This window comes from Homo sapiens, chromosome 6 (genome assembly GCF_000001405.40).
Source record: "Homo sapiens chromosome 6, GRCh38.p14 Primary Assembly".
Taxonomy (NCBI): Eukaryota; Metazoa; Chordata; class Mammalia; order Primates; family Hominidae; genus Homo; species Homo sapiens.
The window spans coordinates 26,870,466-26,898,444 of record NC_000006.12 but is presented as its reverse complement, the minus strand read 5'-3'; the positions used below and the strand labels follow the sequence as shown (position 1 = coordinate 26,898,444).

General features: G+C 45.5%; 2 pseudogenes across 1 annotated transcript in view, besides 2 other annotated features; one reads left to right on the top strand and one right to left on the bottom strand.

The window, feature by feature from the left end:
• The window catches only part of GUSBP2 (GUSB pseudogene 2), an 85,068-nt pseudogene extending 58,110 nt beyond the window's left edge, over positions 1 to 26,958 (top strand). Inside the window, exons 4-9 of the transcript NR_003504.3 lie at positions 9,248 to 9,435; positions 13,002 to 13,086; positions 14,928 to 15,102; positions 19,610 to 19,745; positions 26,195 to 26,321; positions 26,866 to 26,958. The product of NR_003504.3 is annotated as a GUSB pseudogene 2 (transcript). The remainder of the gene's footprint in view (positions 1 to 9,247; positions 9,436 to 13,001; positions 13,087 to 14,927; positions 15,103 to 19,609; positions 19,746 to 26,194; positions 26,322 to 26,865) is intronic.
• On the bottom strand, positions 284 to 27,778 carry POM121L6P (POM121 transmembrane nucleoporin like 6, pseudogene; annotated as a pseudogene).
• Positions 11,769 to 12,624: an enhancer, noted in NCBI's record as "H3K27ac hESC enhancer chr6:26853600-26854455 (GRCh37/hg19 assembly coordinates)". NCBI's record gives its function as "activates a minimal SCP1, AML or CMV promoter by ChIP-STARR-seq in primed H9 embryonic stem cells {active_cell/tissue: H9 hESC(primed)}" and the evidence as "EXISTENCE:reporter gene assay evidence [ECO:0000049][PMID:30033119]".
• Positions 20,954 to 21,133: a silencer, noted in NCBI's record as "fragment chr6:26845091-26845270 (GRCh37/hg19 assembly coordinates)". NCBI's record gives its function as "represses an EF-1alpha promoter that drives an FKBP-Casp9 reporter gene in an ReSE screen in K562 erythroleukemia cells {active_cell/tissue: K562}" and the evidence as "EXISTENCE:reporter gene assay evidence [ECO:0000049][PMID:32094911]".

The following is a 27,979-nucleotide window of genomic DNA, read 5'->3' as shown; positions in this document are numbered from 1 at the left end:
TGGTGGTCTGTGCTTCTTCCCAGACACGGGAGCTGTAGAGGGGACCTCTGCAGCAGATGCAAGGGGGGCCACTAGGCCCAGGCAGTCTTGGGACTTGGGTCTGTCCTGCTGTGCATCCATAGTGGGTGCTTTAGAAACGGGAGGCCCACCAGAAGCCCCTGTTGCAAGTGAGGACAGTGTGGGAAGGCCGTGAGGGTCTGCAGTCCGAGATGGCCTTGTCCTCAACGTGCAGTGCACTGTTGATGCGGGGCCTAGAGGCCTGGGATCACGGGGAGCCACCCCTGGGGGTGAGTGTCTGCCCTGGTGCTGTATCTGCCGCCTTTTCACACCGGGTGTGACCCGAAGAGACAGCCTGAGGTCCGTCCTAACTCACTGTCTTTGAGGAACCGAGGGCCAGCTGGCAGCGGGATGAGGCTGACACCCTCCTCCGCTTTAGTTCTGGGAGGCCTTCCGGAGAGCTGTGGGAGCTCGAGCTGGCCTTTCGTTTGCGGCACAATCTGGTCCGGGAGGTCTGGGATCTATGGGTATATCTCACTTCTGACCTCTGGGCACCTGCTGCAGCTGTGGCTGAGGCCCAGAAATGTGAAGGGCCTCCATCCACTGCCTTGAGTAGTGACCCCGACGTGGGGTTCAATGTGGAGGGGGGAGGGGCTGCCGCGGCAGCTGCAGGAGCCGACGTGCCAGGCCTTGTTCTTCTCATGCCGGCATCCATGCTTGCAGCTGTGAAGGGCGCAGGAATCAGCGAGGTGACCTGGGCTGAGTCCCGGGAGTGGGAAGAGGTGGCAGGAAGGGGATCTGAGGAGGAGAACAGGGGTCCTGGTGGTCTGTGCTTCTTCCCAGACATGGGAGCTGTAGAGGGGACCTCTGCAGCAGATGCAAGGGGGGCCACTAGGCCCAGGCAGTCTTGGGACTTGGGTCTGTCCTGCTGTGCATCCATAGTGGGTGCTTTAGAAACAGGAGGCCCACCAGAAGCCCCTGTTGCAAGTGAGGACAGAGTGTGGGAAGGCCATGAGGGTCTGCAGTCCGAGATGGCCTTGTCCTCAACCTGCAGCGCACTGTTGATCCGCTGGAATGCCGCCTCTTTTTCCAGGTGCAGGTCTTCAGCCGTGACCCGGTACCCCAGCTCTAAGGGAGGTGGCAGCATCAAAGGCTCCCCTCGCCTGCGTGGCAGCAGGGCAATCTTGCGTCTACGGGGCCTAGAGGCCTGGGATCTGGGGGAGCCACCCCTTGGGGCAAGTGTCTGCCCTGGTGCTGTATCTGCCGCCTTTTCACACCGTGTGTGACCCGAAGAGACAGCCTGAGGCCTGTCCTCACTCACTGTCTTTGAGTAACTGAGGGTCAGCTGGCAGCGGGATGAGGCTGGCCCCCTCCTCTGCTTTAGCCCCGGCAAGCCTCCCGTGGAGCTGTAGGAGCTGGAGATGGCATTTCGTTTGGTGCTCGAGCTCGTCCAGGAGGTCTGGGATGTCTGATTATATCTGATTTCTGAGCTCTGGGCATGGAGGTCTGTCTGCAGAGGCCCGGGCCTGGGCGCAAAGGGAGAGAGGCCTCCATTGTACCGCAGGGGCCGAACTGTAGACCGTGCATCCCCGGTGACCTCGGGGACCGTTCTCTGATCATCAGGATTTTCTTGGACTCTGGGGTCCTTGTCCTGCTCAGGCATCCCTGCCCCGCTGTTTTGCTCCGCTGGCCCCCTCCTCCACTTTAGCCCCAGCAAGCCTCCCGCGGAGCTGTAGGAGCTGGAGATGGCATTTTGGTTGGTGCACGAGCTCGTCCAGGTGGTCTGGGATGTCTGGTTGGATCTGATTTCTGACCTCTGGGCATGGAGGTATGTCTGCAGAGGCCCGGGACTGGGCACAAAGGGAAAGAGGACTCCAGTGTCCCGCAGGGGCCAAAATGCAGACCGTGCATCCCCGGTGACCTCGGGGACTCTTCTCTGATCATCAGGATTCTTTTGGACTCTAGGGTCCTTGTCCTGCCCAGGCATCCCTGCCCCGCTCTCCTTGAGGGCCCTCGACACTATCTTCCCTGGAAACAAGTCTGGGGACAGCTGGGTGTTGTGGACCCCAAAGGGGTGACTACCTGCTCCTGGGCCCCACAGAGTCCTTGTGCTCAGTGTAGTGGCTGAGCTGGGGGATGCCCTGGAACTCGGAGCACACAGCACTGGCTTACTGTGGTACCTGTGCAGTGAAATTGAAGGCAGAATCACCAGGATGGAACACAGGTCTTGCAGGATCACGGAAAACCTTCTTAGAGTTGTCTTGACACCACTGATGTCGAGTGTCCGGGTGCTTGTAGGATGGCCTGCCACTCAGTCCAGGGGCAGGAGCAACGGGGAGATCCCACAAGCAAAGTGAACTGGGGGATGGGCTGAAGGGGCTCCAGGCAACTGAGCCCTACTCGCAGGTCCTCGGCCTTGGCCCAAACAGGAATGAGGGGCACAGAGTGCCCGGGTAACCGCTCCTGGGAGCAGTGGGGAACCGTCGGATGCTTGAACTCTCGAGAGCTGGGCTCTGAGCGTCCTCGTCCAGCTGCCAACTCGGCCAAAGGCTAAGCCAGCAGATTCTTCTGTTGCCGGGCAACGCACCTTCTAAACCTGAGGGAGTGGGCGCGTGAGCACATAATGGCACCAGTGACAGAGCGACCATAATGGATTAATAAGCGCAGCCAGGTACCCGCGCAAGGCACTTGCTGGCAATGGCAGGAGGCGGACGTGGGGGGGTCGTGCAATAGGTACTGGAGGGAGAGACGCGGGCACAAAGGTCACGGGAGGAACAGGTGCCCACAATGGCTGCAGATCTGCCCGTGGATCACTGAAGATTCCTGCTCTCCTGCTGAGGTGGAGACTGCAGTGAGCTGAGATCGCACCATTGCACTCCAGCCTGGGCAACGAGTGCAAAACTGAGTCTCCAGATAAAAAAAAGAAAAAGAAAAAAAAGAGGCCGGGTGTGGTGGCTTATGCCTATAATCCTAGCACTTTGGGAGGTCGGGGTGGACGGATCACGAGATCAGGAGTTGGAGTCCAGCCTGGCCAACATAGTGAAACCCCGTCTCTAGTAAAAATACAAAATTTAGTCAGACATGGTGGGCAGGAGAGAGCACGTGCAGGGGAGCTCCCATTTATAAAACCATCAGATCTCATGAGACTTATTCACTACCATGAGAACAGCATGGGGGAAACTGCCTCCATGATTCAATTATCTCCACCTGGCCCCACCCTTGACACATGGGAATTGTTACAATTCAAGATGAGATTTGGGTGGGGACAGAGCCAAACCATATAATTCTTCCCCGGCCCCTCCCAAATCTCATGTCCTCACATTTCAAAAGCAATCATGCCTTCCCCAATGTCCCCCAAACTCTTATTTCAGCATTAACTCAAAATTCCATAGTCCAAAGTCTCATCTGAGACAAGGCAAGTCCCTTCCACCTATGAGCCTGTAAAATCAAAAGCAAGTGAGTTATTTTCTAGATACACAGGGATACAGGCATTGGGTAAATACACTCGTTTCAAATGGGAGAAATTGGCCAAAGCGAAAGAGCTACAGGCCCCATGCAAGTCCAAAACCCAGCAGGCAAATCTTAAAGCTCCAAAATGACCTCCTTTGACTCCATGTGTCACATCTAGGTGATGCAAGAAGTGGGTTCCCAGGGTCTTGGGCAGCCCCGCCCCTGTGGCTTTGCAGGGTACAGCCCCCCTTCTGGCTGCATTGAGTGTCTGCAGCTTTTCCAGGCACACAGTGCAAGCTGTCAGTGGATCTACCATTCTGGGGTCTGGAGGATGGTGGCCCTTTTCTCACAGCTCTGCTTGGCAGTACCCCAGTGGGGACTCTGTGTGGGGGCTCCAACCCCATATTTCCCTTTGACACTGCCCTACCAGAGGTTATCCATGAGGGCCCCCCCCCCGCAGCAAACTTTTGCCTGGATTTCCAGGCATTTTCATACATCTTCTGAAATCTAGGCGGAGGTTCATGAACGTTAATTCTTGACTTCGGTGCATCTGCAGGCTTAACACCGCCTAGAACCTGAAAGGCTTGGAACTTGCACCCTCTGAAGCCATGGCCCGAGGTGTACCTTGGCCCCTTTTACCTATGGCAGGAGCAGCTGGGATGCAGGGCACCAAGTTCCTGGGCTGCACACAGCAGGGGGTTCTGGACCCACAAAACCATTTTTCCTTCTAAGCCTCCTGGCCTGTGATGGGAGGGTCTGCTGTGAGGGTCTCTAACATGCCCTGGAGACGTTTGCCCCATTGTCTTGGTGATTAACATTTGGCTCCTCATTACTTATGCAAATTTCTACAACCCAGTCTCCTCAGAAAATAGACTTTTGTTTTCTGTTGCATCATCAGGCTACAAATTTTCTGAACTTTTATGCTCTGCTTCTTCTCGAATGCTTTGCTGCTTAGAAATTTCTTCTGTCAGATACCTTAAATCATCTCTCTCAAGTTCAAAGTTCCACAGATCTCTAGGGAACTCTAGAAAAAAATTCTTATTTTCACTCTTTCCCGCCTATCTTATGCCTGTTTCTAATACAGGTGCACAATGCCTGCAGTGTCTTTGCATAGTAAGAGTGACTTTACTCCGTTTCCCCACAAATTCCTCATCTCCCTCTGAGAGAACCACCTCCGCCTGGACCTTATTGTCCATATCACTATTAACATTTTGGTCAAAGCCGTTCAACAAGTCTCTAGGAAGTTCCAAACTTTCCCACATTTTCCTATCCTCTTCTGAGCCTTCCAAACTGTTCCAGCCTCTCCCTGTTACCCATTTCCAAAGTTGCTTCCACATTTTTGGGTATCTTTACAGCAGCACCCCACTCTACTGGTACCAACTTATTGTATTAGTCTGTTCTGACACTGCAAATAAAGACATACCTGAGACTGGGTAATTTATAAAGGAAAGAGGTTGAATTGACTCACAGTTCTGCGTGGCTGGGGAGGCCTCACAATCATGGTGGAAGGCAAGGAGGTGCAAAAGCATGTCTCCCATAGTGGCAGGCAGGAGAGAGCATGTGCAGGGGAACTCCCATTTATAAAACCATCAGATCTCATGAGACTTATTCACTACTACGAGAACAGTATGGGGGGAACCATCCCCATGATTCAGTTATCTGCACCCGGCCCCACCCTTGACACGTGGGAATTATTACAATGCAAGGTGAGATTTGGGTGGGGACACATCCAAACTATATCAGTAGGTTTTGACTTCTTGCTTGATTGCTAGGTTGCATAGAGGACAAACATGGAAATTAATGAAGTACCTTAATATCTGGCTTCAGATCTTAGACAGGATCAGAGGGCCAGCTCAAATTTGCAAGGAGGGGAGGTAGATCCCACCATTTTATGGGTGAATGGCAAAATCAAACAGAAATTATGTGGGATGGGAGATAGTGATGCAGGCATCTTTGGAAACATTCTACTTAGCTAATTTTATGCTAGGCTTTAGGTCAAGAAGGAGAGAGAGAGCTGACATGCTGTGGTACACACTTATAGTCCCAGCTACTTGGAAAGCTGAGGCAGGAGGATTGCTTGATCCCAGGAGTTTGAGGTTGTGTGCGATGATCGTTCTTGTGAATAGCCACTAGCCACTGAACTCCAGCTTGGACAACATTGAGACACCCTGTCTCTTAATTTAAAGAAAAAAAAAAAAAAAGGAGGACAGAAAGTGGTCTCAGTTTTTAATGTAAATATTTTTAATGGGATGATGATATTTTAAGATTAATGTATATTGTATATCAGTTAACTATAGGTCAATAATTATATAAAACTTAAGGTACGAAAAACATTTATTTTTGCGAACATATCTGTGAGTTGACTGTTCTTGGCTTGGTGAGGCTGCAAGCTGCAGATAGAGTCTAGGTATGTTTTCTGTGTGTTTGTTCCCCCTTGGATCAGTGGACTACCTGAGAATGTGTTTTTTGTCACAGTGGTAGAATCACAAGGAAACTCCAGTTCTGGAAGTACATTTTAAGCCTTTGCTTCTATCATGTCCACTGACATTCAGTCAGCCAAAGCACATACCTTGTCCATGGCTAACATTGATAGTATAGATAAATATACCTGACCTCTAGCAGGAGGAACTGCATTGTCTTGGGGAAAGGTTGTAGATATAGGGAGGGGTGATGAGTTGGGAACAATAATGTAGTCTGCTACAAATATATTAAAGTGTAACTGGATATGGTTGATGCAGAATTTTGAACCTTTGTTTTAATTCTGATTTTTACTCTTTTCCCCCTATCTAGTGCCCTTTTGTAATACAGTAATTCTCATGATTTTTGTCTGAATTGAAATCTTCTATGAGATTAGATTGTCTACGAAAATACAGTCAATCCTCCTTGTTTTCAGCTTTTGTATTTGTGAACTCACCTACTATTTTTTGTAACCCCCAAATCAGTACTCACAGCACTTTCATAGTCACGTGTTTGCATAGAGTGTCAAAGAATTTGAGTTTGAACAGGATGATATTCTGCCTTCTTTTTCAGCTCTCATACAATAGTCAGGTATCCTTTTTGTGGTCTATTTAATGCCATGCTTTTCCTATTTTTGTACTGTTTGTTGGTTGTTTTGCCATTTAAATTAACCCCCAAGCATAGTGCTGAAGTGCTGCTTAGCATTCACAAGTCCAAGAAGTCTGTGATGTGCCTTACAGAGAAAATACATGCATTAAATAAACTCCATTCAGGCGTGAGTGCTGTGGTGCCATTGGCTGTGAGTTCAATGTTAATGAATGAACAATGTATATTATTTATTTATTCATTCATTTAATTAATTATTATTATTATTTTTTGAGATAGAGTCTCACTCTGTTGCTCAGGCTGGAGTGCAGTGGTGCAGTCTTGGCTGACTGCAACCTCTGCCTCCTGGGTTCAAGCGATTCCCCTGCCTTAGCCTCCCAAGTAGCTAAGACTACAGGCATGCGCCACCATGCCTGGCTAATTTTTTTTTTTTTTTGTAGTTTTAGTAGAGACGGGGTTTCACCACGTTGGCCAGGCTGGTCTCGAACTCCAGACCTCAAATGATCTGCCCGCCTTGGCTTCCCAAAGTGCTGGGATTACAGGCGTTAGCCACTGTGCCTGGCCAACAATATATATTAAATAAGCACCCATACAACAAAAGTAGGTGTTGGTAAGCTTACAAAAATGTGACCAGTAGCTTGCTGAAACCTAACTTTTTATTTGTTCATGGAACTTTCTAGACCGTAACTACACTGAATAATGAGAATCTGCTGTAACCTTTTTAGGTGCTGTAGATGAGCCATTGGATTAAATTATTACAGTATGTTTCAGACTGCTCTATGTTGAACCCTAGTGAAATGCCTCTCAGACCCTCATAAGGATCACAATCTCATGTCCTTTTTTTTGTTATTAAATGCCCAGTATGTGTTAGCGATTTAAACAAAATTCAAATATTTTTTTTTTTTTGAGACAGAGTCTCGCTCTGTCACCTAAGCTGGAGAATGCAGTTGCATGATCTCGGCTCACTACAACCTCTGCCTCCCGGGTTCAAGCGATTCTCCTGCCTCAGCATCCTGAGTAGCTGGGATTACAGGCGCCTGCCACCACGCTGGGCTAATTTTTGTATTTTTAGTAGAGACGGGGTTTCGCCAGGTTGTCCAGGCTGGTCTGGAACTCCTGACCTCAGGCGATCTGCCTGCCTTGGCCTCCTAAAGTGCTGGGATTATAGGCGTGAGCCACCATGCCCAGCGTTGACTTTTTCATAATAACCATTCTGACTGGTGTTGAGATGGTATGCCATTGTGGTTTTGGTTTGCATTTCTCTAATGATCAGTGATATTGAGCTTTTTTTCATATGCTTGTTGGCCGCATGTGTGTCTTCTTTTGAAGTGTCTGTTTATGTCCTTTGCCCACTTTCTAATGAGATTTTTTTTTCTTGTAAATTTGTTTAAGTTCCTTATCAGTGTTGGACATTAGATCTTTGTCACATGCATTGTTGCAAAAATTTTCTCCCATTCTGTAGGTTGTCTGTTCACTCTGTTGATAGTTTCTTTTGCTGTGCAGAAGCTTCAAGAAGAAAGGAATCCGATTGGTTCTGTGTCTGTCTCTTTTGGTATTCTCAGACTTATGTAGTCATCCATATAGAAAGATGATTAGGAAAATAGGACAAGCATAGCAGAAATCTACATAAAAATGTAGGAAATTAAAATTAGTTACCAGCATACAAAAAACTACTATATGTCATAATTACATACTATAACTCACCCCTCCTTGCCAAATATTCTCTCTCTTTTGACTTCAAAATCATGGCTTATATGTACTTTTTCTATTTCCCAGATGCAAATATAATTAATTGACTTTATTTATCTAGGAAATGTTACTGATATCTTAATTGTAGTCATTGGCTTGAGTGACGGGTTTTGGTAATTCAACTACTATTGAAAGTAGTAGATTTCCTAGGATACTGTTATAAAATCTTTTTAACCTCTTTTCTGATTTCAGGAGTAATTAGTAATTGTGGTTTACTGGAAAATTCAATGAATAGGGTGTTAAAGGAAGCAATTCATTAATAATTTATCTAATCTATTGGGAGACTGAGGCGGGTGGATCACCTGAGTTGAGGAGTTCGAGACCAGCCTGGCCAACATGGCAAAACTCCATCTCTACTAAAAATACAAAAATTCGCCGGGCATGGTGGTGCATTCCTGTATTCCCAGGTACTCGGAAGGCTGAGGCAGGAGAATCACCTGAACTCCAGAGGTGGAGGTTGCAGTGAGTCAGGATCGCAGCACTACACTCCAGCCTGGGTGACAGAGTGAGACTCCATCTCAAAAAAAAAATTAAAAAATTAAATTAAAAAAAAGCGGGCCGGGCGCATTGGTTCAGGGCCGGGCACGGTGGCTCAAGCCTGTAATCCCAGCACTTTGGGAGGCCGAGGCAGGCGGATCATGAGGTCAGGAGATCAAGACCATCCTGGCTAATGTGGTGAAACCCCGTCTCTACTAACAATACAAAAATTAGCTGGATGTGGTGGCAGGTGCCTGTAATCCCAGCTATTCCAGAGGCTGAGGCAGGAGAATCACTTGAACCTGGGAGGCAGAGGTTTCAGTGAGTCCAGATCATGCCACTGCACTCCAGCCTGGGCGACAGAGCGAGATTCTATCTCAAAAAAAAAAAAAAAAGAAAAAAGCAACAGAAGCAAATGAGAGTGCCTGGGAGTGGTCATTGTGGGGTATTCCCGTTTGTGTGACCCAGGTCATGTCCGTCCCTAAGCCCTGGTCTCTCTTGCCTCCTGCAGGGCTGGTGAATTACCAGATCTCCGTCAAGTGCAGTAACCAGTTCAAGTTGGAAGTGTGTCTTTTGAATGCAGAAAACAAAGTCGTGGACAACCAGGCTGGGACCCAGGGCCAGCTGAAGGTGCTGGGTGCCAACCTCTGGTGGCCGTACCTGATGCACGAACACCCCGCCTACCTGTACTCGTGGGAGGTAATGGTGGTTTGGGACTTGCTTAAGGGAGGTCTTTTGCCCCCATCTGGTAGCCCTGGCTTCAGCAGGAGCCTAGGACAGGTGAACGGGCAGGTGTGGTCCTCTGAGCTTTCTGATGTTTCCCACCCTTGGTGGGAGGCCCAGATTTTTTATTTATTTATTTATTTATTTATTTATTTTTATTTTTTTTGTGTGTGATGGTCTCACTCTGTCACCCAGGCTGGAATGCAATGGCCTGATCACAGCTCACTGCAGCTTTGAGCTGCAATCCTCCTACCTTGGCCTCCTGAGTAGCTGGGACTACAGGCACATGCCACCATGCCTGGCTAATTAAAAAAATTTTTTTTGTAGGCCGGGCATGGTGGCTCACGCCTGTAATCCCAGCACTTCGGGAGGCTGACGCGGGCGGATCACTTTAGGCCAGGAGTTGGAGACCAGCCTGGCCAACATGGTGAAACCCCGTCTCTACTAAAATATGAAAATTTGCAGGGCATGATGGTGCACATCTGTTATCCCAGCTACTCGGGAGGCTGAGGCAGGGGAATTGCTTGAACCCAGGAGGCAGGGGCTGCGGCGAATTGAGATCATGCCACTGCACTCTATCCTGGGTGACAGAGTGAGACTGTCTCAAAAAAAAAATCCTTTTTGTAGAGTTGGGGTCTTACTCTGTTGCCCAGGCTGGTCTTGAACTCCTGGACTCAGGTGATCCTCCTGCCTTAGCCTCCCAAAGTGTAGGGATTCCAGGCATGAGCCACCTCGTCTGGTCAAGGAGAAGGCCTGATTTTGAAGGGCAGGTCCCAGGGTCAGCCAGTGAAGGGCAGAGCCTCTGATTGCTGCTGCTCTGCAGGCCCAGAGGCGACTGCTGGGGTGCATGCACGAGGGGTCTTCCTGCTGTAGGGCAGGCCAGATGGGGTTCAGGCTGTCGGGGCGCTCACACCTGGCGCTTTGGCTGTCATAGGTGCGGCTGACTGCACAGAAGTCACTGGGGCCTTTGACTTCTACACACTCCCTGTGGGGCTCCGCACTGTGCCTGTCACCGAGAGCCAGTGGGTGAGAGCCAGTTTCATTTGTGGTAGAGGCAGCAGAGGTTGTAGAAATGCTCCTTGAGGCAGATGCCACACCCCAGTTTCATGGAGTGATTTGGGCTGAGCCGAGTCTGCAGCAGGCAGAAGGCTCTGAGATGTTGTCCTAGCCTGGGCAAAGGACAATTCAGAGCTCGGGGGAATAGGGGTGTGCTCAGCACGACTGGGTGGACAGGCCCTTTGTTGTGAATCGTACAGGCTTCCAGGAGCGGGTGCCTGAGGCTTCCAGACAGGCTTTGGGAGGTGGCCAGAGGAGATGCCTGTTTCCGGGGCAGGAAACGGAGGGAGCGCCCAGGCTGGAGAGGTTCAGCCAGGCTGTCACAAGGCTTTGAAGCTTCCCATCTGAGAGCCTGGCTATTGGAGAGTGTGGGTTTGGAACTTGAGGCTAGGAGGTTCTGTTCTGTCCTGTGCCAGCCACAGCCTTCGGATGGGCAGAGCAATGATGGGGGAAGATGTAAAAGAAAAGAACTGAGGAAAGAAGAAGAAAACCAGTTTCAACAACAGTATAGGCCGGATGCAGTGGGTCACGCCTGTAATCCCAGCAGTTTGGGAGGCTGAGGTGGGTGGATCACCTGAGGTCAGGAGTTCGAGACCAGCCTGGTCAACAGGTAGTGAATCCTGTCTCTACTAAAAATACAAAAATTAGCTGGGCGTGGTGGTGGACGTCTGTAATCCCAGCTACTAGGTAGGCTGAGGCAGGAGAATCGCCTCAGGTGAACCAGGAGGCAGAGATTGCAGTGAGCTGAGATAATGCCACTGCATTCCAGCCTGGGCTACAGAATGAGACTCTATCTCAAAAAAACAAAACAAAACAAAAACACAACAGTCTGTTCTGTGGAGGCCTTGGGCAGATGCTGGGAGCTCTGAGCACGGACTGGTCCCTCTGTTGGGAGCCTCTTCCCTTCATCCCTCCTGGTTAACTTGACTCAGCATAAAGGCCATTTCTTCTAAGAGCCTGTCCCTGACTCTCCAATCCGGGATGTGTCTGTTGTCTCATAGAGTGCCCAATTCCTGCCACCACTTGTCATTTCCATTCGCAACATTTCTTTCATTGTTTGTTTTTCAGAGTCAGGGTCTCACTCTGTTGCCCAGGCTGGAGTGCAGTGGTGCAATCATAGCTTGTTGCCATCTCGACCTCCTGGGCTTAAGCGATCCTCCCCACTCAGCCTCCCATATAGCTGGGATCACAGACGTGCGCTGCCTTGCCAGGCTACATTTTAATATTTTTTTTCCCCACGAGTCAGAGTCTTGCTCCGTCACCCAGGCTGGAGAGCAGTGTTGCGATCTTGGCTCACTGCATCCTCTACCTCCTGGGTTCAAACAGTTCTGCCTCACCCTCCCGAGTAGCTGGGATTACAGGCTCACGCCACCATGCCCAGCTAGTTTTCTTCTTTATTTTTTGTTGAGATGGGGTTTCACCATGTTGGCCAGGCTGGTCTCGAACTCTTGACCTCGTGATCCACCTGCCTTGGCCTCCCAAAGTGCTCACAGGCTTGAGCCACCATGCCCAGCCCTAATTTTTAAATTTGTTGTAGAAACAAGGTCTTGCTATGTTGCCCAGGCTGGTCTCAAGCGCCTGGTCTCAAGTAAGCCTCCCAAAGTGCTGGGGTTCTAGGCGTGAGCCACCTCGCCTGGCACTTGCACCGTTTTTCTGTGCATGCATCTCCACTCCCACTGCCCAGGACCTGTGGACTTAGATTTGAGTCATTACTGAGCACCTAGCACCCAGCCCCGTGCCTACCTCCCACCTCGCACTACCTGTTTGCTTGATGCATTAATAAATATTCCACCTGAATCCACAGCCCATTCACTCCTGTGTTCAAGAGTTATTTCAGGAAGCGAACCTCATTTTTGGCAGTGTTCAGTCCAGTGACCTCAGCTCTGTGTACCTGGCAGGGTGGCTACGCCTCTGGGGGAATTGGATTCAGGGGTGGGGGAGAAAGAGTGATGTTAGAGAGCTCGGTCTAGGACTAGAGGAACGTGCCCTTATGTAAAACACATCTCAAGTTAGGGAAGAAAGCAGCGGCTCTGTGCTTTGTTTTTTTTTTTCTTTTCTTTCTTTCTTTTTTTTTTTTGTTTGTTTGTTTGTTTGTTTGTTTTGGGGCAGGGTCTTGCTCTGTGGCCCAGGCTGGAGTGCAGTAGCGTGATTTCGGCTCACTGCAACCTCCACCTCCCGGGTTCAAGCAATTCTTGTGCCTCAGCCTCCTGAGTAGCTGGAGTTACAGATGCGTGCCACTATGCCTGGCTAATTTTTGTATATTTAGTAGAAATGGGATTTTGCCATGTTGGCCAGGCTGTTCTTGAACTCCTGACCTCAGTGATCTGCCTGCCTCAGCCTCCTGAAGTGCTGGGATTACAGATGTGAGCCATCATACCTGGCCCCCAGTTGTGTTCTGTCAGGGGAAGATGGGACAGAGAGGATGGGAGGGTGTCTTAGCCTTTCCCGGACTGACGGAACCTGTGTCTTCTCTCTTTTGTGGACAGGATGGTGATTGCTCACACCAAAGCCTTGGACCCCTCCCAGCCTGTGACCTTTGTGACCAACTCCACCTACGCAGCAGACAAGGGGGTGAGCCTGGGGGTCCCCACCCCATTTCTCCCTGCCTTTGCCTGGGCTTGTCCTGAAGCCTGCTCATGGGAACAGCTGGAAAGAACCATGTGCTGCCAGTCTGAGCTTTTTATTTTGTTTTACTTAGAAAGATAGAGACAGGGTCTTGCCATGTTGCCCAGGCTGGTCTCGAACTCCTGGGCTCAAGTGATCCTCCTGCCTCGGCCTTCCAAAGGGCTGGGGTTACAGGCGTGTGCCACCGCACTCAGCCGCAGCCAGTCTGTTTTCAAAGATGGTCTTTGGGTTAATGACAATTCTCTCTCTGCTTACTCTCCAGGCAGTGTGGCTTTCTGAATCCAAGGAGGCTGGGCATAGGGAGATGGGATTTGTTTGCTCAGTTTGGACTCAGCATTTTTTGTACTCGACTTAATAGACTCATAAAATGTCAAAGGTTTAAGTGAGCTTAGAGTTCATCTGGCCCAAACCTGGCTGATCAGAATCTCCAGAAGTTTTATTGAAATGCCAGATCTCTGCATTCTGAGATCCCGATTTAGTAACTCCAGGGTTGGAACCTGAGTTTTTTTTTTTTTTTTTTTTTTTTTTTTTTTTTTTTTTTTGTGAAGGCAAGGTCTTACTCTGTTGCTCTGGCTGGAGTGCAGTGGTGTGATCACAGCTCACTGCAGCCTTGAATTCCTGGGCCTAAGCAACCCTCTTGCCTCAGCCTTCCAAGTAGCTGGGACTCCGGGTGTACACCACTGTGCCCGGCTAATTTTAAATGTTTTTGTAGAGATGGGATCTCACTATGTTGCCCAGGCCAGTCTCAAACTCTTGAGCTCAAGTGATCCTCCTGCCTTAGCCTCCTAAAGTGCTGGGATTACAGGCATGAGCCACCGTGCCTGGTTGATACTAGCATTCTTTTTTTTTTTTTAAAGATAGAGTCTTGCTCTGTTGCCCAGGCTGGAGTGCAGTGGCACAGTCTCAGCTCACTGCAACCTCCGCCTCCCAGGTTCAAGCAATTCTCCTGCCTCAGCCTCCCAAGTAGCTGGGATAACAGGCACATGCCACCACGCCTGTGCTTGATCATGGAAGGCAGAGGTTGCACTATTGTGCCACTCCATTCTAGCCTGGGCAACAGAGCGAGACTCTGTCTTCCAAACAAAGCGAAAAAAGATTATCTGCGAGAATGAGTGCATTGGCCCCTTGGGTGGGAGCGCTTCTCCAGGGCAAGGTGAGGGGATGCCCAGTGCTGGGAGTGCTGCCTGGAGAGGAGTCAGTTCCAGTGGCGGGGGCCCTGGGTTTTGGCTGAGGACTGCGTGTTGGCAGCTGCTCTGCCTCTCACAGCCCTTCCCAGCTGCACACGTCATGAGCGTCAGTGTGCAATCACAGGCCTGCCTCCTTTGGGCCACTTTGTGACCATGTTTTTTGCTGGTGGGGCAGGGTAATTTCAGGATCTAAATTGGTGCAGTTGGACGTTCTCAGCCCCGAGAGGCAGCTCTTCCCGTTCTAGGCTTTTTGTTTTGTTTTGTAGAAATGGAGTCCTACGATGTTGCCCAGGCTGGTCTCAAACTCCTGGGCTCAAGTGATCCTCCCACCTTGGCCTCCCAATCTGCTGGGATTACAGGCATGAGCCACTGTGCCGTGCTAATTTTCTTGATACTATTTTTTGTAGAGCTGGGGTCTTGCTGTGTTGCCCAGGCTGGTCTTGAACTCCTGGCCACAAGCCACCCTCCTGCCTCAGCCTCCCGGAGTGCTGGGATTACATCCCCTTCTTACCTTCTCTGTCAGAGGAGCCCCCACAGCATGTGAGTACTGAGTCATGCGGTCTTGTGGTTGCTGAACGGGCTCTGCTACTCTGGTCCTAGGCTCTGTATGTGGATGTGATCCGTGTGAACAGCTACTACTCTTGGTATCGCAACTACGGGCACCTGGAGTTGATTCAGCTGCAGCTGCCCGCCCAGTTTGAGAATTGGTGTAAGACATCACAATCCCATTATTCAGAGCGCGTATGGAGTGGAAACGCTTATAGGGTTTCACCAGGTAAGCGGTGTTGAACTTTCTGCTTGTGTATTCTCTCTGGGCAGAGATGCCACTTGCCTCCCCCACCCTGCCCTGCGCCCACTGCAGTGCTCCCCTTGCTTCAGCTTTGGGCTCACCTCCCGCTACCCTGTCCACGTTCCCTTCTCACCAGCAGCCAGGCCTCTGCCCCACTCGCTTGGTCCTCAAAGGTGGACTCCTTACTGGCCTTGTTTCCAGACAGCCTCCTATCACCCGTGCCCAAGTGGTCTTTCTAACAAATCCAAATTTTTGTGTGTTTTTGAGACCGCCTCTCTCTCTGTCACCCAAGCTGGAGTGCGGTGGTGCGATCACTGCTCACTACAGCCTTAACCTCCTGGGCCCAAGCGATCTTCCCACCTCAGCCTCCTGAGTAGCTGGGACCATAGGCACAGGCCAACATGCCTGGCTAATTTTTTTTACTTTTGTAGAGATGGGGCCTTGTTGTGTTCCCCGGGCTGGTCTTGAATTCCTGGGATCAAGTGATCCTCCTGCCTCAGGCTCACAAAGCGCTGGGATTACAGGTGTGAGCCACTGTGCCCGGCCACAAATCAAAATTTTTGAGTCCTATCATTGGCTCCCCCAGGCCCATAGGACAAAGTCCTAACCCCTAGTCAGGACACTCAGTGTCCTCTGCTCTCTCTCCTGGGTTTTCATCCTCTTCTCTTCTCACTCCTGGCCACTGATCTGTTTCCACTGCCCTCATTTGCTCTCCTGCTCTTGCTTGAGCTATTCTTTCTGCCTGGAATGCCCATGTTGGCACCATAATCACCAACTAAAAGATCCTTTTCTTTTTATTTTTTTAGAGATAGGGTCTTGCTGTGTTGCCCAGGCTGGTCTCAAACTCCTGGACTCAATTGACCTTTTTGCCTTGGCCTCTCAAAGTGCTGGGATTAACAGGTGTGATCCACTGTGCTAGCCTTTTTTTTATTTTTTATTTTTTTCCTGACAGAGTCTTGTTCTGTTGCCCAGGCTGGAGTGTGGTGGTGTCATCATAGCTCACTGCAGCCTCGAACTCCTGGGCTGAAGCGATTCCCCTGCCTCAGCCTCCTGAGTAGCTGGGACTACAGGCGTGCACCACCATGTGCAGCCTAGTTTTAAAATATTTTGTAGAGATGCAGTCTCACTATGAGGCTGGTCTTCACCTCCTGTCTTGGACTCCCAAAGTACTGGAAATACAGGCATGAGTCACGACACGTGGCTGAAAAGATTCCTATTTGGCGTCTGAGTCTCCTCATAGCTGTCCCCTCTGTGGGGAGGTTTACCCCGCCTGCCCCAGGCGGAGGGAACCTTCCCCATGCTCTGCCCTGTTGCAGCCAGAACCTGGCTCTCCCAACATTCTCGCCAGGCACTGTTGTTATTTCTTTGGCTCTCTCTTTGATCGGACTGTGGGCTCAGGAGACAGGAGTCCTATTTATTGTTGTTTCCCAGGTACTCTGCAATAGCTGACACAGCACATGCTAAATAATACCTATTGAGGGCATGGGTGAGATCTTAGAGCCATGTTTAATCACTCACTTTGTCTTTTTTTTTTTTTTTTTTTTTTTTTGAGATGGAGTCTCACTCTGTCACCCAGGCTGAAGTGCAATGGTGTGATCTCAGCTCACTGCAACCTCCATGTCCTGGGCTCAAGCGATTGTCCTGCCTCAACCTCCCAAGTAGCTGGGATTACAGGCACCCGCCACCATGCCCAGCTAATTTTTGTATTTTTGTAGAGGTGGGGTTTTGCCATGTTGGCCAGGTTGGTCTCGAGCTCCTGACGTCAAGTGATTTGCCTGCTTCGGCGTCCCAAAATCCTGGGATTACAGGCCTGAGCCACCATGCCTGGCCTGTCCTCATTTGTTTATCCATCTCATTTTTTGTCCTTCTCACCAAAGTTATGTTGCTTTGTCTTGTGGGTTTTTTTTCATGTGGATTCCTGAACCCCATCCAGCCCCTTGTCCCCTCCCCAGCCAGCTCACACTCTTTTCTCACAGCTCCTGGGACTCCCGTTGACACACAGGGAACAGCCACCCACAGTGGACTGCACTGTTCTGTTTGCACCCTTAAATTTATCGTGCTTACAGAATGACACTTCTGCAAACTAGTCAAGTAGGGGGAAATGGTTTGTGGATATGCACCCTTGTTTATTCTCTTTGAAAATGTAACCAGCTCTGAATTCTTTCTCCTCTGAGGAGGAGTTTCACTTGTCGCCCAGGCTGGAGTGTAGTGGTGCAATCTTGACTCACTGCTACCTCCACCTCCCAGGTTCAAGCAATTCTCCTGCATCAGCCTCCCAAGTAGCTTGGATTACAGGCATGCACCACCATGCTCACCGAATTTTTTTTTTTTTTTTTTTTTTTTTTTTAGTAGAGATGAGGTTTCACCATGTTGGTCAGGCTGGTCTTGAACTTTTGACCTCAAGCGATCCACCTGCCTTGGCCTCCCAAAGTGCTGGAATTACAGGCATGAGCCACCATGCCCAGCCTCAGTTCTGAATTCTTAAGAAACTCGAGAGGGTCTAGGTGAGCATTGATAGAACCTCTGCAGTGCTGGGTGTGGTGGCTCACACCTGGAATGCTAGCCCTTTGGGAGACCGAGGTCAGAGGATCTCTTGAGCCCAGGAGTTTGAGACCAGTCTGCACAACATGGACCCCATCTCTACAAAATATTTAAGATGAGTTGTGGCTGGGTGCAGTGGCGGACACCTGTAATCCCAGCACTTTGTGAGGCTGAGGTGGGTGGATCACGAGGCCAAGAGTTCAAGTCCAGCCTGACCAACATGGTGAAACCCCGTCTCTACTAAGAAAACACAGAAATTAGCTGGGTGTGGTGGCATGCACCTGTAATCCCAGCTACTCAGGAGGCTAAAGCAGGAGAATCGCTTGAACTGGGGAGGTGGAGGTTGCAGTGAGCCGAGATTGTGCCACTGCACTCCAGCCTGGGCGACAGAGCAAGACTCCGTCTCAAAAAAAAGAAAAAAAAAAATAGTTGGGTATGGTCGTGCTTGCCTCTAGTCCCAGCTACTTGGGAGGCTGAGGTAGGAGGACTGTTTGAGCCCAGTAGGTCAAGGCTGCAGTCCGCCATAATTGCACCACTGTACTCCCACCTGGGTGACAGAGTGAGACCTTGTTTCAAAAAAGAACCTTTGCAATGATGGAAATGCCCCATGTCTGCACTGTCTGAAATGGTAGCCACTAGCTACTTGTGGCTATTGAGGTCTTGATGTATGACTAGATAACTGAATTTATTTGGTTTAATTAAAAAAAAATTTTTTTTGAGACAGCCTCACTCTGTTGCCCAGGCTGGAGTGCAGTGGCGTAATCACAGCTCACTGCTCAACCTCCTGGGCTCAAGTGATCCTTCCTCCTCGGCCCCCCAAGTAGCTGGAGCCACAGGCATGCGCCACTACACCTAGCAAATATTTAGCCTTTTTATAGAGACTGGGTTTCACTGTGTTTCCTAGGCTGATCTTGAACTCCTGAGCTCAAGTGGTCCTCCTGCCTCGACCTCCCAAAGTGCTGGGATTACAGACCTGAGCTACCATGCCCAGCCTGGTTTAGTTTAATTTCATTTTACATTCATTCATTCATTCATTCATTCATTCATGAGATAGGGTCTTGTTCTGTCACCCAGGCTGGAGTGTAGTGGTGCAAACACAGCTCACCACAGCTTTGACCTCCGGGACTGAAGCAGTCCTCCCACCTCAGCCTCCCAAGTAGCTGGGACCACAGGTGTGTGCCTCCATGCTTGGCTAACTTTTGTACTTTTTGTAGGCTAGTCTTGAACTCCTAGGCTCAAGCAGTCCTCCCACCTCGGTCTCCCAAAGTGCTTGGATGACAGACATGAGCCAGCGCGCCTGACCTAAAGACATATTTTTCTTTCTAGTGTAGTTCAGCCTTAAGACTGTATCAGCAGATAGAGACAGAAAAGTAAGAAAAATTGAGTATCAGATTATATTTATAAATAAAGCAGTTACTAATTGATGTTTTTTTTTAAACCTCCTTTTTAATTCTGGGTTACATCATTCCCTGGCTGTCTTTTTTTTTGTATTTTTTTTATTATTATATTTTAAGTTTTAGGGTACATGTGCACATTGTGCAGGTTACTTACATACGTATACATGTGCCATGCTGGTGTGCTGCACCCACTAACTCGTCATCTAGCATTAGGTATATCTCCCAATGCTATCCCTCCCCCCTCCCCCCACCCCACAACAGTCCCCAGAGTGTGATATTCCCCTTCCTGTGTCCATGTGATCTCATTGTTCAATTCCCACCTATGAGTGAGAATATGCGGTGTTTGGTTTTTTGTTCTTGCGATAGTTTACTGAGAATGATGATTTCCAGTTTCTCCCTGGCTGTCTTTACCCTAGCATCAGTGAGTCCTGCAGTCACTACAGCCCCCCAGTGAGGACAGATATTTTGGTCACCATCAAGTGGATCTTTATTTTTATCTAACATTTACAATTCTGCCAGTCCTTACTCTTAATTCTCTTTGCCTTGAATCCCAGGATCCACCTCTGATGTTCAGTGAAGAGTACCAGAAAAGTCTGCTAGAGCAGTACCATCTGGGTCTGGATCAAAAACGCAGAAAATACGTGGTTGGAGAGCTCATCTGGAATTTTGCCGATTTCATGACTAACCAGTGTAAGTGGCAGTTTAGCGCATGGGATAATGTACCCGTCCTCATTTTTTCAGGTTGCCTTGCCCATTCTGGACATTTTGGCTGTAAGAATATTGGAAACAAAGGGGGAAAGCTGGTTTATTCCATGTAGGTTGCGTTGAGAATTTCCTAGGAAAAGTAAGTTGTGCTTAGGAAGTAGGAAAGCAGCCAGGCCCCCGCTTCCCACATACAGTCAAAAAGCAAGCATGAGAGTCTGCTATAGTGAGATGGAAATGGCTAGCTTGCCTTTTTCTTGTCTATTTCATAGCCAAGGAGGAAGGAAAAACTGGACCTCATTATGAATTTACTTTTGGGATACACTCATTATTCCAGAGGAGGGTAAAAGGCTGAGAAGCTTAAGGTATTTCAGTCTGTTTTATGTTACTCATTTGCGAAAAGCAGGCTCATCGAATACAGGTGAGTTTCAACGTGTCTTGAATATGGCAGCATTTAAAAGTCTTCAGACCAGGCATGGTGGCTCATGCCTGTCATCCCAGCACTTTGGGAGGCCGAGGCAGGCAGATCATGAGGTCAGGAGATCGAGACCATCCCGGCTAACAGTGAAACCCTGTCTCTACTGAAAATACAAAAAAAATCAGCCGGGCGTGGTGGCAGGCGCCTGTAGTCCCAGCTGCTCGGGAGGCTGAGGCAGGAGAATGGCGTGAACCCAGGAGTTGGAGCTTGCAGTGAGCCGAGATTGTGCCACTGCACTCCAGCCTGGGCGACAGTGAGACTGCTTCTCAAAAAAAAAAAAAAAAAAAAAAAGAAAGGGTCTTCAAAGACAATAAGATCTGTGCTCTCACCTAGGGTGGATGAGGGGCTGCCAAGTTAGCAATGAATGTTTCCCATTTCTTCTTAGTTTATGGACTTTCCGTAAACTCAGGATGGCAGTTTGGTTGGTTGGAGAAGGATATGGTGATGGCGGGAGTTACAATACATTACTTATAGGGGAAGATAGGCTTTTGAAAGGTTAAAGCTTAAAAGTGAGAATGGAAAAGGGATGAATGAATGAACATGATGAGGTGAGAGGGAAGAGGTAAAGGGAAAAGGAGAACAAGAAACTCTTCTCTGCGTGGCACCTGGGATGAATGGTTTCTGGGGACATCCCTGATGGCAGTTTTGTGGAGAGGTGCAAAGCTTTATGTGGTAAGAAATGAGCTGTAGGCTCAGTGCAGTGGCTCACGCCTGTAATCCCAGCACTTTGGGAGGCCGAGGTGGGTGAAAAGAAAAAATGGGCCGGGCGCAGTGGCTCACGCCTGTAATCCCAGCACTTTGGGAGGCCGAGGTGGGTGGATCATGAGGTCAGGAGTTCGAGAGCAGCCTGGCCAACATGGTGAAACCGTGTCTCCACAAAAAACTAGAAAAAAAATCCCTGCATGGTGGTGAGTACCTGTAGTCCCAGTTACTCAGGAGGCTGAGGCATGAGAATTGCTGAAACCTCGGAGGCGGAGGCTGCAGTGAGCTGAGATGGTGCCACTGCACTCCAGCCTGGGTGACAGAGCTGGGTGGTGGCTCAAGATATGTTTTGTAAACCTGAAGATTTGAGATCATATAAGCCAAATCGAAACTTAATTGGCATTCCTAACTTTTGGTTCTAGAGACTCCATGATCAACTAAGAGCCACCAAACATTTCCCATGTAGACTATTTTGACCATGCTGACTCTACTGACACTTTGGTTACTGTATTCACTTTATCTCTAGAAATTAATTCTTACTGATGGATGTCTGTCACTGTAAGATCCTTCTATCCTCTGAAATAAGAACATTTTAACTTCAGTAGTTTAAACTAGTGTCCTAAACTATAGCATTCAAAATGAGATAATATGCTAAAGTAATACACAAACCAAAAATCCCAGTGGCTAACACAAAAAGTTTTTCTTACTCATTTTACTCATTCTTACTCATTTTACATATCCATACAATAGAAGTATATGTCTTTTGAATAGCTTTTATTTTATACTAATTATTTTATAATACATTCACTTCAAATTTTGGTTTAAAGTGTTTGTCATAGATATAGATAAAATAAAACAAATGGGAAATTGATTTTATGGTCTTGAATGAGACGATTATATTAATCTAGCAAATGAGTTAAATCAACAACAGAATTTTGAAAAATATGTAGTGGGTAATAGCTAATAATAATGTTTTTATGTGTAACTGATTTTATAACATTCAACCAAGTTTGTTTTTGTTAGGCCTGATAATATCAGAAGTAGTATATTTGTAATTTCAGTGTTTATTACTAATATTATACATCCCTCAATTGGCATAATTATAATATTTTAACTAAAATATACTGTGAAATTATACATTCTAGGCACTGTGCTGGGCTTCTGGCAAAATTATAAAGTTGCTTTATTAAATTCATACATGCGGAAATCTAATATAAATTTTATACATATATTTTTTATCATAAGAGTGTATAGTATTTCTTAGGGAATTTCAATGAACCTGGAAAATCTTATATACTTTAGTGAAACTGTAAGTTACTGCACTTGGAGAAAAAAATTATTGATATTTTCATAGTGCAAAAGTATACATATGTGCTAGTCTCAGCACCTAGATTAAAAGTCCACCCTTGAACCTAAAATAAAAGTTAAAATATTTTTAAAAAGAATCTATCCTACAGAAGTAAAGGCATATATGTTATCCTCGATATACAAGAATGCTTTCACAGCATTGTTTATGATGGCAAAATAAACCAGAATTAAACATGAGTTTCTTCAACAGGTAATTGGTAGAATAGTTTTTGTATCCTTATAATGGAAAAATTTTAAGATATTAAAAGATAAGTTAGTTTGCATGTATTTACCTGAAGCTATGTCTGCACCTATATGCAAAATAGGAGTTTGCAAAATAATATACATGATATCATTCACTTCATACAGAGTATTGGTTAACACATTAAAGAATTTTCTGTGAGGGACCAAGTTAAGGAATTTACATGCATTGGCTGATTTAATTCTCACATAAATCAGCTGATAGAGCAGTTTTATCATTCTCATTGCATCCCTGAATCTTAGGTGCATAGAGGTTCAATAAATTGCCTGGAGTTACACAGGGAAAGAATAAAGTTACTCAATTATTAGGATTTTCAGAACTTCAGAATAAAGAAAGCATGTTTAGTTCCCCCCGCGCCCCCCCCAACCCCGGGTACATGGCTGTTTTCCCTGGTTTCAGTTAACCAGCATTCAACTGAGGTCTAAAAATAGGTGAGTGTATAACAACAAGATATTTTGAGAGAGAGTAAGAGACCACATTCATCTACTTTTATTACAGTACATTATAAATGTTCTATTTTATCATTTTTATTGTTGTTACTTACTATGCCTAATTTATAAATTAAACTTTACCATAGCTATGTATTTATAGAAAAAAAATACATAGTACAGTATATATAGGATTTGAACTACCTACAGTTTCAGGCAACCACTGGGGGTCTTGGAATGTATCCTCTATGGATAAGATTGATTACTATATTTCCTAAGTTTCATAATGGCATTCTTTTGGAATAGATTAAATGTCATGCATGGGCTTTCAGCTTATTAATTTTATTATAACATTTGACAACGTCTCATGAAATTCTGATGCACACATAGAAAATATCAAACCAGATGGAAGTATTATGTGCTATATTCTTCGTTGAATAAATATACCCACAATGATTAATCAATGGGTACGTTTATGGGTAGTTTGAAAGGAAAAATAATATACTTCTGGGTTCTATTACTGGCACTATTGTGAATACAAATGTTATCAATCATGTAACTATTAGGCTGCTCACAAATACTTTAGTTTTTCTCATACTATACAAATAATAAGATGGCAGTATTTCATCCTGCTTGAAGGTAAATGAAATCACTTTACTTGTTTTGACCAATGTCATTTGAATAGAAGGAATTTTTACAAGGCCTTCCCATGGTCCCTTATGAGCTGTATTAGCATGAGTTGTGACAGAGTTTTTATCAGCTGTCTTCCTAAATGACTAAGTCTCCTTGTAAACTTATTATAGAGACTGAATTGGTTTTAGATGTGAAAGTTATTTATTACTGCAGTATAGTATAGGTCATCTTAACTGATACACATAACAAAATGGAATGTTTGGTTTAGAAATATACAGATGTCCCTACCAGGGGAAATTAGACAATTGACTTAATAATAAAACTAGTATTTAATTTCAGGAATTCAGAATTTATAGTATATAATATATTTATGTATATATATTATACTGTAGATATATTCACAAAGTTAATTTTTGATTAATAACTTACAGAAAGCTCTGCACCTGAGATTTATAAACTTGCTGAAAAAAATTCAGTAAGAAAACTCTATTTTAGTATATGCTTAATGAAAATATCTTGGTGGAAACCCTAAACTCTAAAACTACCCTGTGGTATTCAGAATGAGTCAAGCAAAACCCATAATAAATGACTTTATAGGTAGCTTTTGGATACAGCTCTAGGTTTAAAATTTGAGAATAAGGTTCGCAGATTCTATTCTTTACAAAGGAAGGGCTGTCACAGCAGTGTGTGCCTGGAACCCATTTTAAATAAAGGAAAAATTGAAGAGCTGGCATTTTAACCATCATATGTCTAATACATAATGATGCTTCATAAGTTACTGAGACCTCCCTCGATCTCTGGGATAGTTGGAGTAATGGCTGAATATAAACTATCAGAAAAATTGAATCTGTAATTCTGTCAATAAGTGAGAAAATATTCTAAGATTCTTTAAATTTTAATTCTGGGGTTTTGAACACATTGATATGTAAAATATAACAAAATAAGGTGGACACTGTTTAACTGCAGTTGGTATCAATTCTTATGTACTGAATTTAAGGAGAGAGATGTTATCACCGTAGGAAATTATACCAACTAATGACTGCATACCATTAATATATTTTCTGAAGTTTGAATTTTCAGTTAATGCACTTTCAATGATATTAAAGAGCACTTTATTAACAGCTATTTGAAGGGTAATTTATATACAGAGAACTGCACATATTTAACTTGTATACTTTAATGAGTTTAAACATCTGCAAACACCCCCGATACTGTCACCACAGTCACTTGGATATGATTCACATAAACATATCCAAGACCCCCTGAAATTTATTTTAAACCCCTTATGTGTGTATGTATGTGGTGAGAAGACTGAATTTGAGACCCAGCCTCAACAAATTTTGACATGCACAATATTATAGTATAAACTATTGGCACTATATTGAACAGCCGCTCTCTAAAATGTATTTATCTTGCACAACAAAGTTCATATTCCTTGAAAAACTTCCCATTACCCCACACCAGAGCCTTTGGAAACTACTGTGGTCTTCTCTGCCTCTGTGAGTTTGACTATTACAGATACCTCATATAAGTGGAATTCTGCAGTATTTGTCCTCTTGTGACTGGCTTATTTCACTTAGCATAAGATCCCTTAGGTTCATCAATATTGTCACCAATATCAGGATTTTCTTCTTAAGACTGAAAAATATTCTATTGTATGTATATACCTCAATTTCTTTATCCATTCATCTGCCAATGGGCAGAGACATGGGTTATTTCCATATCTTGGCTATTGTGAAAAACGATGCTATAAATGTGGGAGTGCAGATATCTCTACAAGATCCTGATTTTAATTGTTTTGGATATGTATCTAGAAATAAGAGTGCTGGATCGCCTGGTAATTCTATTATTTTTAGCTTTTGGAGGAACCTCCATACTGTTTTCATAGTTGCTGTATCATTGTACATTCTCAATGTACAGTGTGCAGGGGTTCCAAATTCCCTATATCCTCACCATTTATCTTTTGGTTTTTTGAAAATCAACATCCTAACAAGAGTGAGGTAATATCATTTTGATATTACTATTTGCAATGACTTTTTGAATATGACATCAAAAGCACAGGAAACAGAAGCAAAAAATAGGCAAGTTGGACTATATCAAACTAAAAACAAACAAGAAAAACAAAAACCAAGCAAACCTCCACACAGCTAAGGATACAAGCAACAGAATGAAAAGGCAATCTATAAAATGAGAGAAAATACTTGCAATCCATATATCTGATAATGGATTAATTTTTAAAATATATAAGAAATTCCTACAATTTAATAGCAAAACATGCATAATCTGATTTAAAAATGGGCAAAGGATTTGAACAGACATTTCTTCAAAGAAGATATGCAAATGGCCAACAGGTCCATTAAAAAATATGCTCAACATCTTTAATTATCAGGGACATGCAGATTAGTAGAACTTTCAAGTAAATAAATAAATAACTCTACTTCACAGACTAACCTATAAAATGCTGAATTTTGTTATGTAAAATGTTACAGAAATAATTTCCTCACAATTGTGTTTATTCATTTGTGCTACTATTACAAAATATTTACTACCTGGTCATTTATAAAGAACAGAAATTGATTTTTCACAGTTCTGCAGGCTGGAAATCCAAGATGAAGTCACCTATAGTTCAGTGTCTGCGTCTAAGAGAGCACTTTGTTGCTGCACCCGCCATGGGGAAGAAATACTGTATCTTCTCATGAAGGAAGGAACCGAAGGTGGGAATAGGGACCAAACTCCCTCTTTCAAGCCTTTTTGTAGTGACATTAATTCATTTATGAGGATGCCACCATCATGACATAATCATTTCCCAAAGGATTTCACCTCCTCCCACTGTTGCATTGGGAATTAATTTTCCAACACATGAATTTTGAGGGACACATTCAGACCATAGCAACTGGTATATAGTAACTAGGTGGCCCGATGGTCTTCATAATAAAGTTATATTTTACTTTAGTATAAAATAAAAGGTCAAGGCTTGTAACTGTCATGAGACTGCTTCACTCCCCTAGTGACTATCACAGTTGACTGACAGCTCCTGGGGTTCATCTTTGTATCCATCACTACCTATAGTCCAAAATCCCCACCTCACAGCTGTTGTCAGCCAATGACAAAGCATAGTGAGGTGCTGTTCCTGCTCAATATGGAGGAAAACTTTGGCTTGATAACTCTCCATTGGCCTGCCAAAATATGTTAAGTATTGTGCTACTATCTGAAACTCATTTTACCTAACCTTTTTTATTTTCTTTCCTCCTTCATAAGGTTTACAAGTATTGTGGCTGAAGGCTGTGTCTATTCCTGCTTCCTCCACCTCACCTTGCAAAAGTGTTTATCCAAATAAATCCCTCACACATCTAATCCCATTTTGGCAAATTCAGTTTCAGAACTTTGCCTTCACTACTAGTCTCAAGGAAAATATATTAATACACACACACACACATGCATGCACACACACACACATATGTATATATTTCCCAAACTATTATAGGTAAAATATACTCTTATCATGAATAAATCCAAATTGTGAATGCTTAAAATATACTTTACAGAATATTAAAATTTAAAAGCATCACAGGAAAAATATTAATACTGTTTACAGAATTTCAATATGTGAATAATATTTACATTACAGTTTCATATGAACCTTTTACTTCTCTATTTAGTATGCCATCATGTCACTGCAGAGGTATGAAAAGGAGAGCTCTCCTAGTTGTGAAAAAAGAAACATGTTTTATTGGGAGCTAAGTGGAAGGTTCAACATGTGGGAATATCTGGGCATGCACTGAAGACACCTTTTGCATCTCCCCCATCCACATAGCAAAGTGAATGTGGTTTGTATCCATTTATGCAGGATACTCTGGAAAACCAAACTGAAGCAAGGTTAACATACATTTTTAAAAGAAAACTAAAGGAAAACAACACATACTTTATTACCTATCAAAGTAACCACTTCATTATATTTTAGTGGAAGCTATTATTTATTATCGAATTATTTGCTTGGGCAGGAGGATACAGGGTTTTTCCATTTGGGTTGTATATGTTCCTCATGAGAAAAGCTGAAGACAAAATCTTACCCTTCTGCCCAAAGTCAATTGAATCAACATGTTTACCTTGCTCCACGGAGCTGCTGACCTACTGGCTGGCTGTTGTGTGGCTTGGCAATGGAGTTCTGCATGACAGGAACAATGGTTTTTAAGTGGACTAATCAGAGCTATTAATGCATATGCAGTGAAGGCAGGAACTTTGCTACATGCAGGACTTATCATTTTGCTAATAACAATGCCTGGCACAGATTAGCGATTTGTTGAAATAAAACATATTCTGGGAGATATAAGATAGAGAAAGAGAGCAGCATGTAGTAGAAATAGATGTCGAA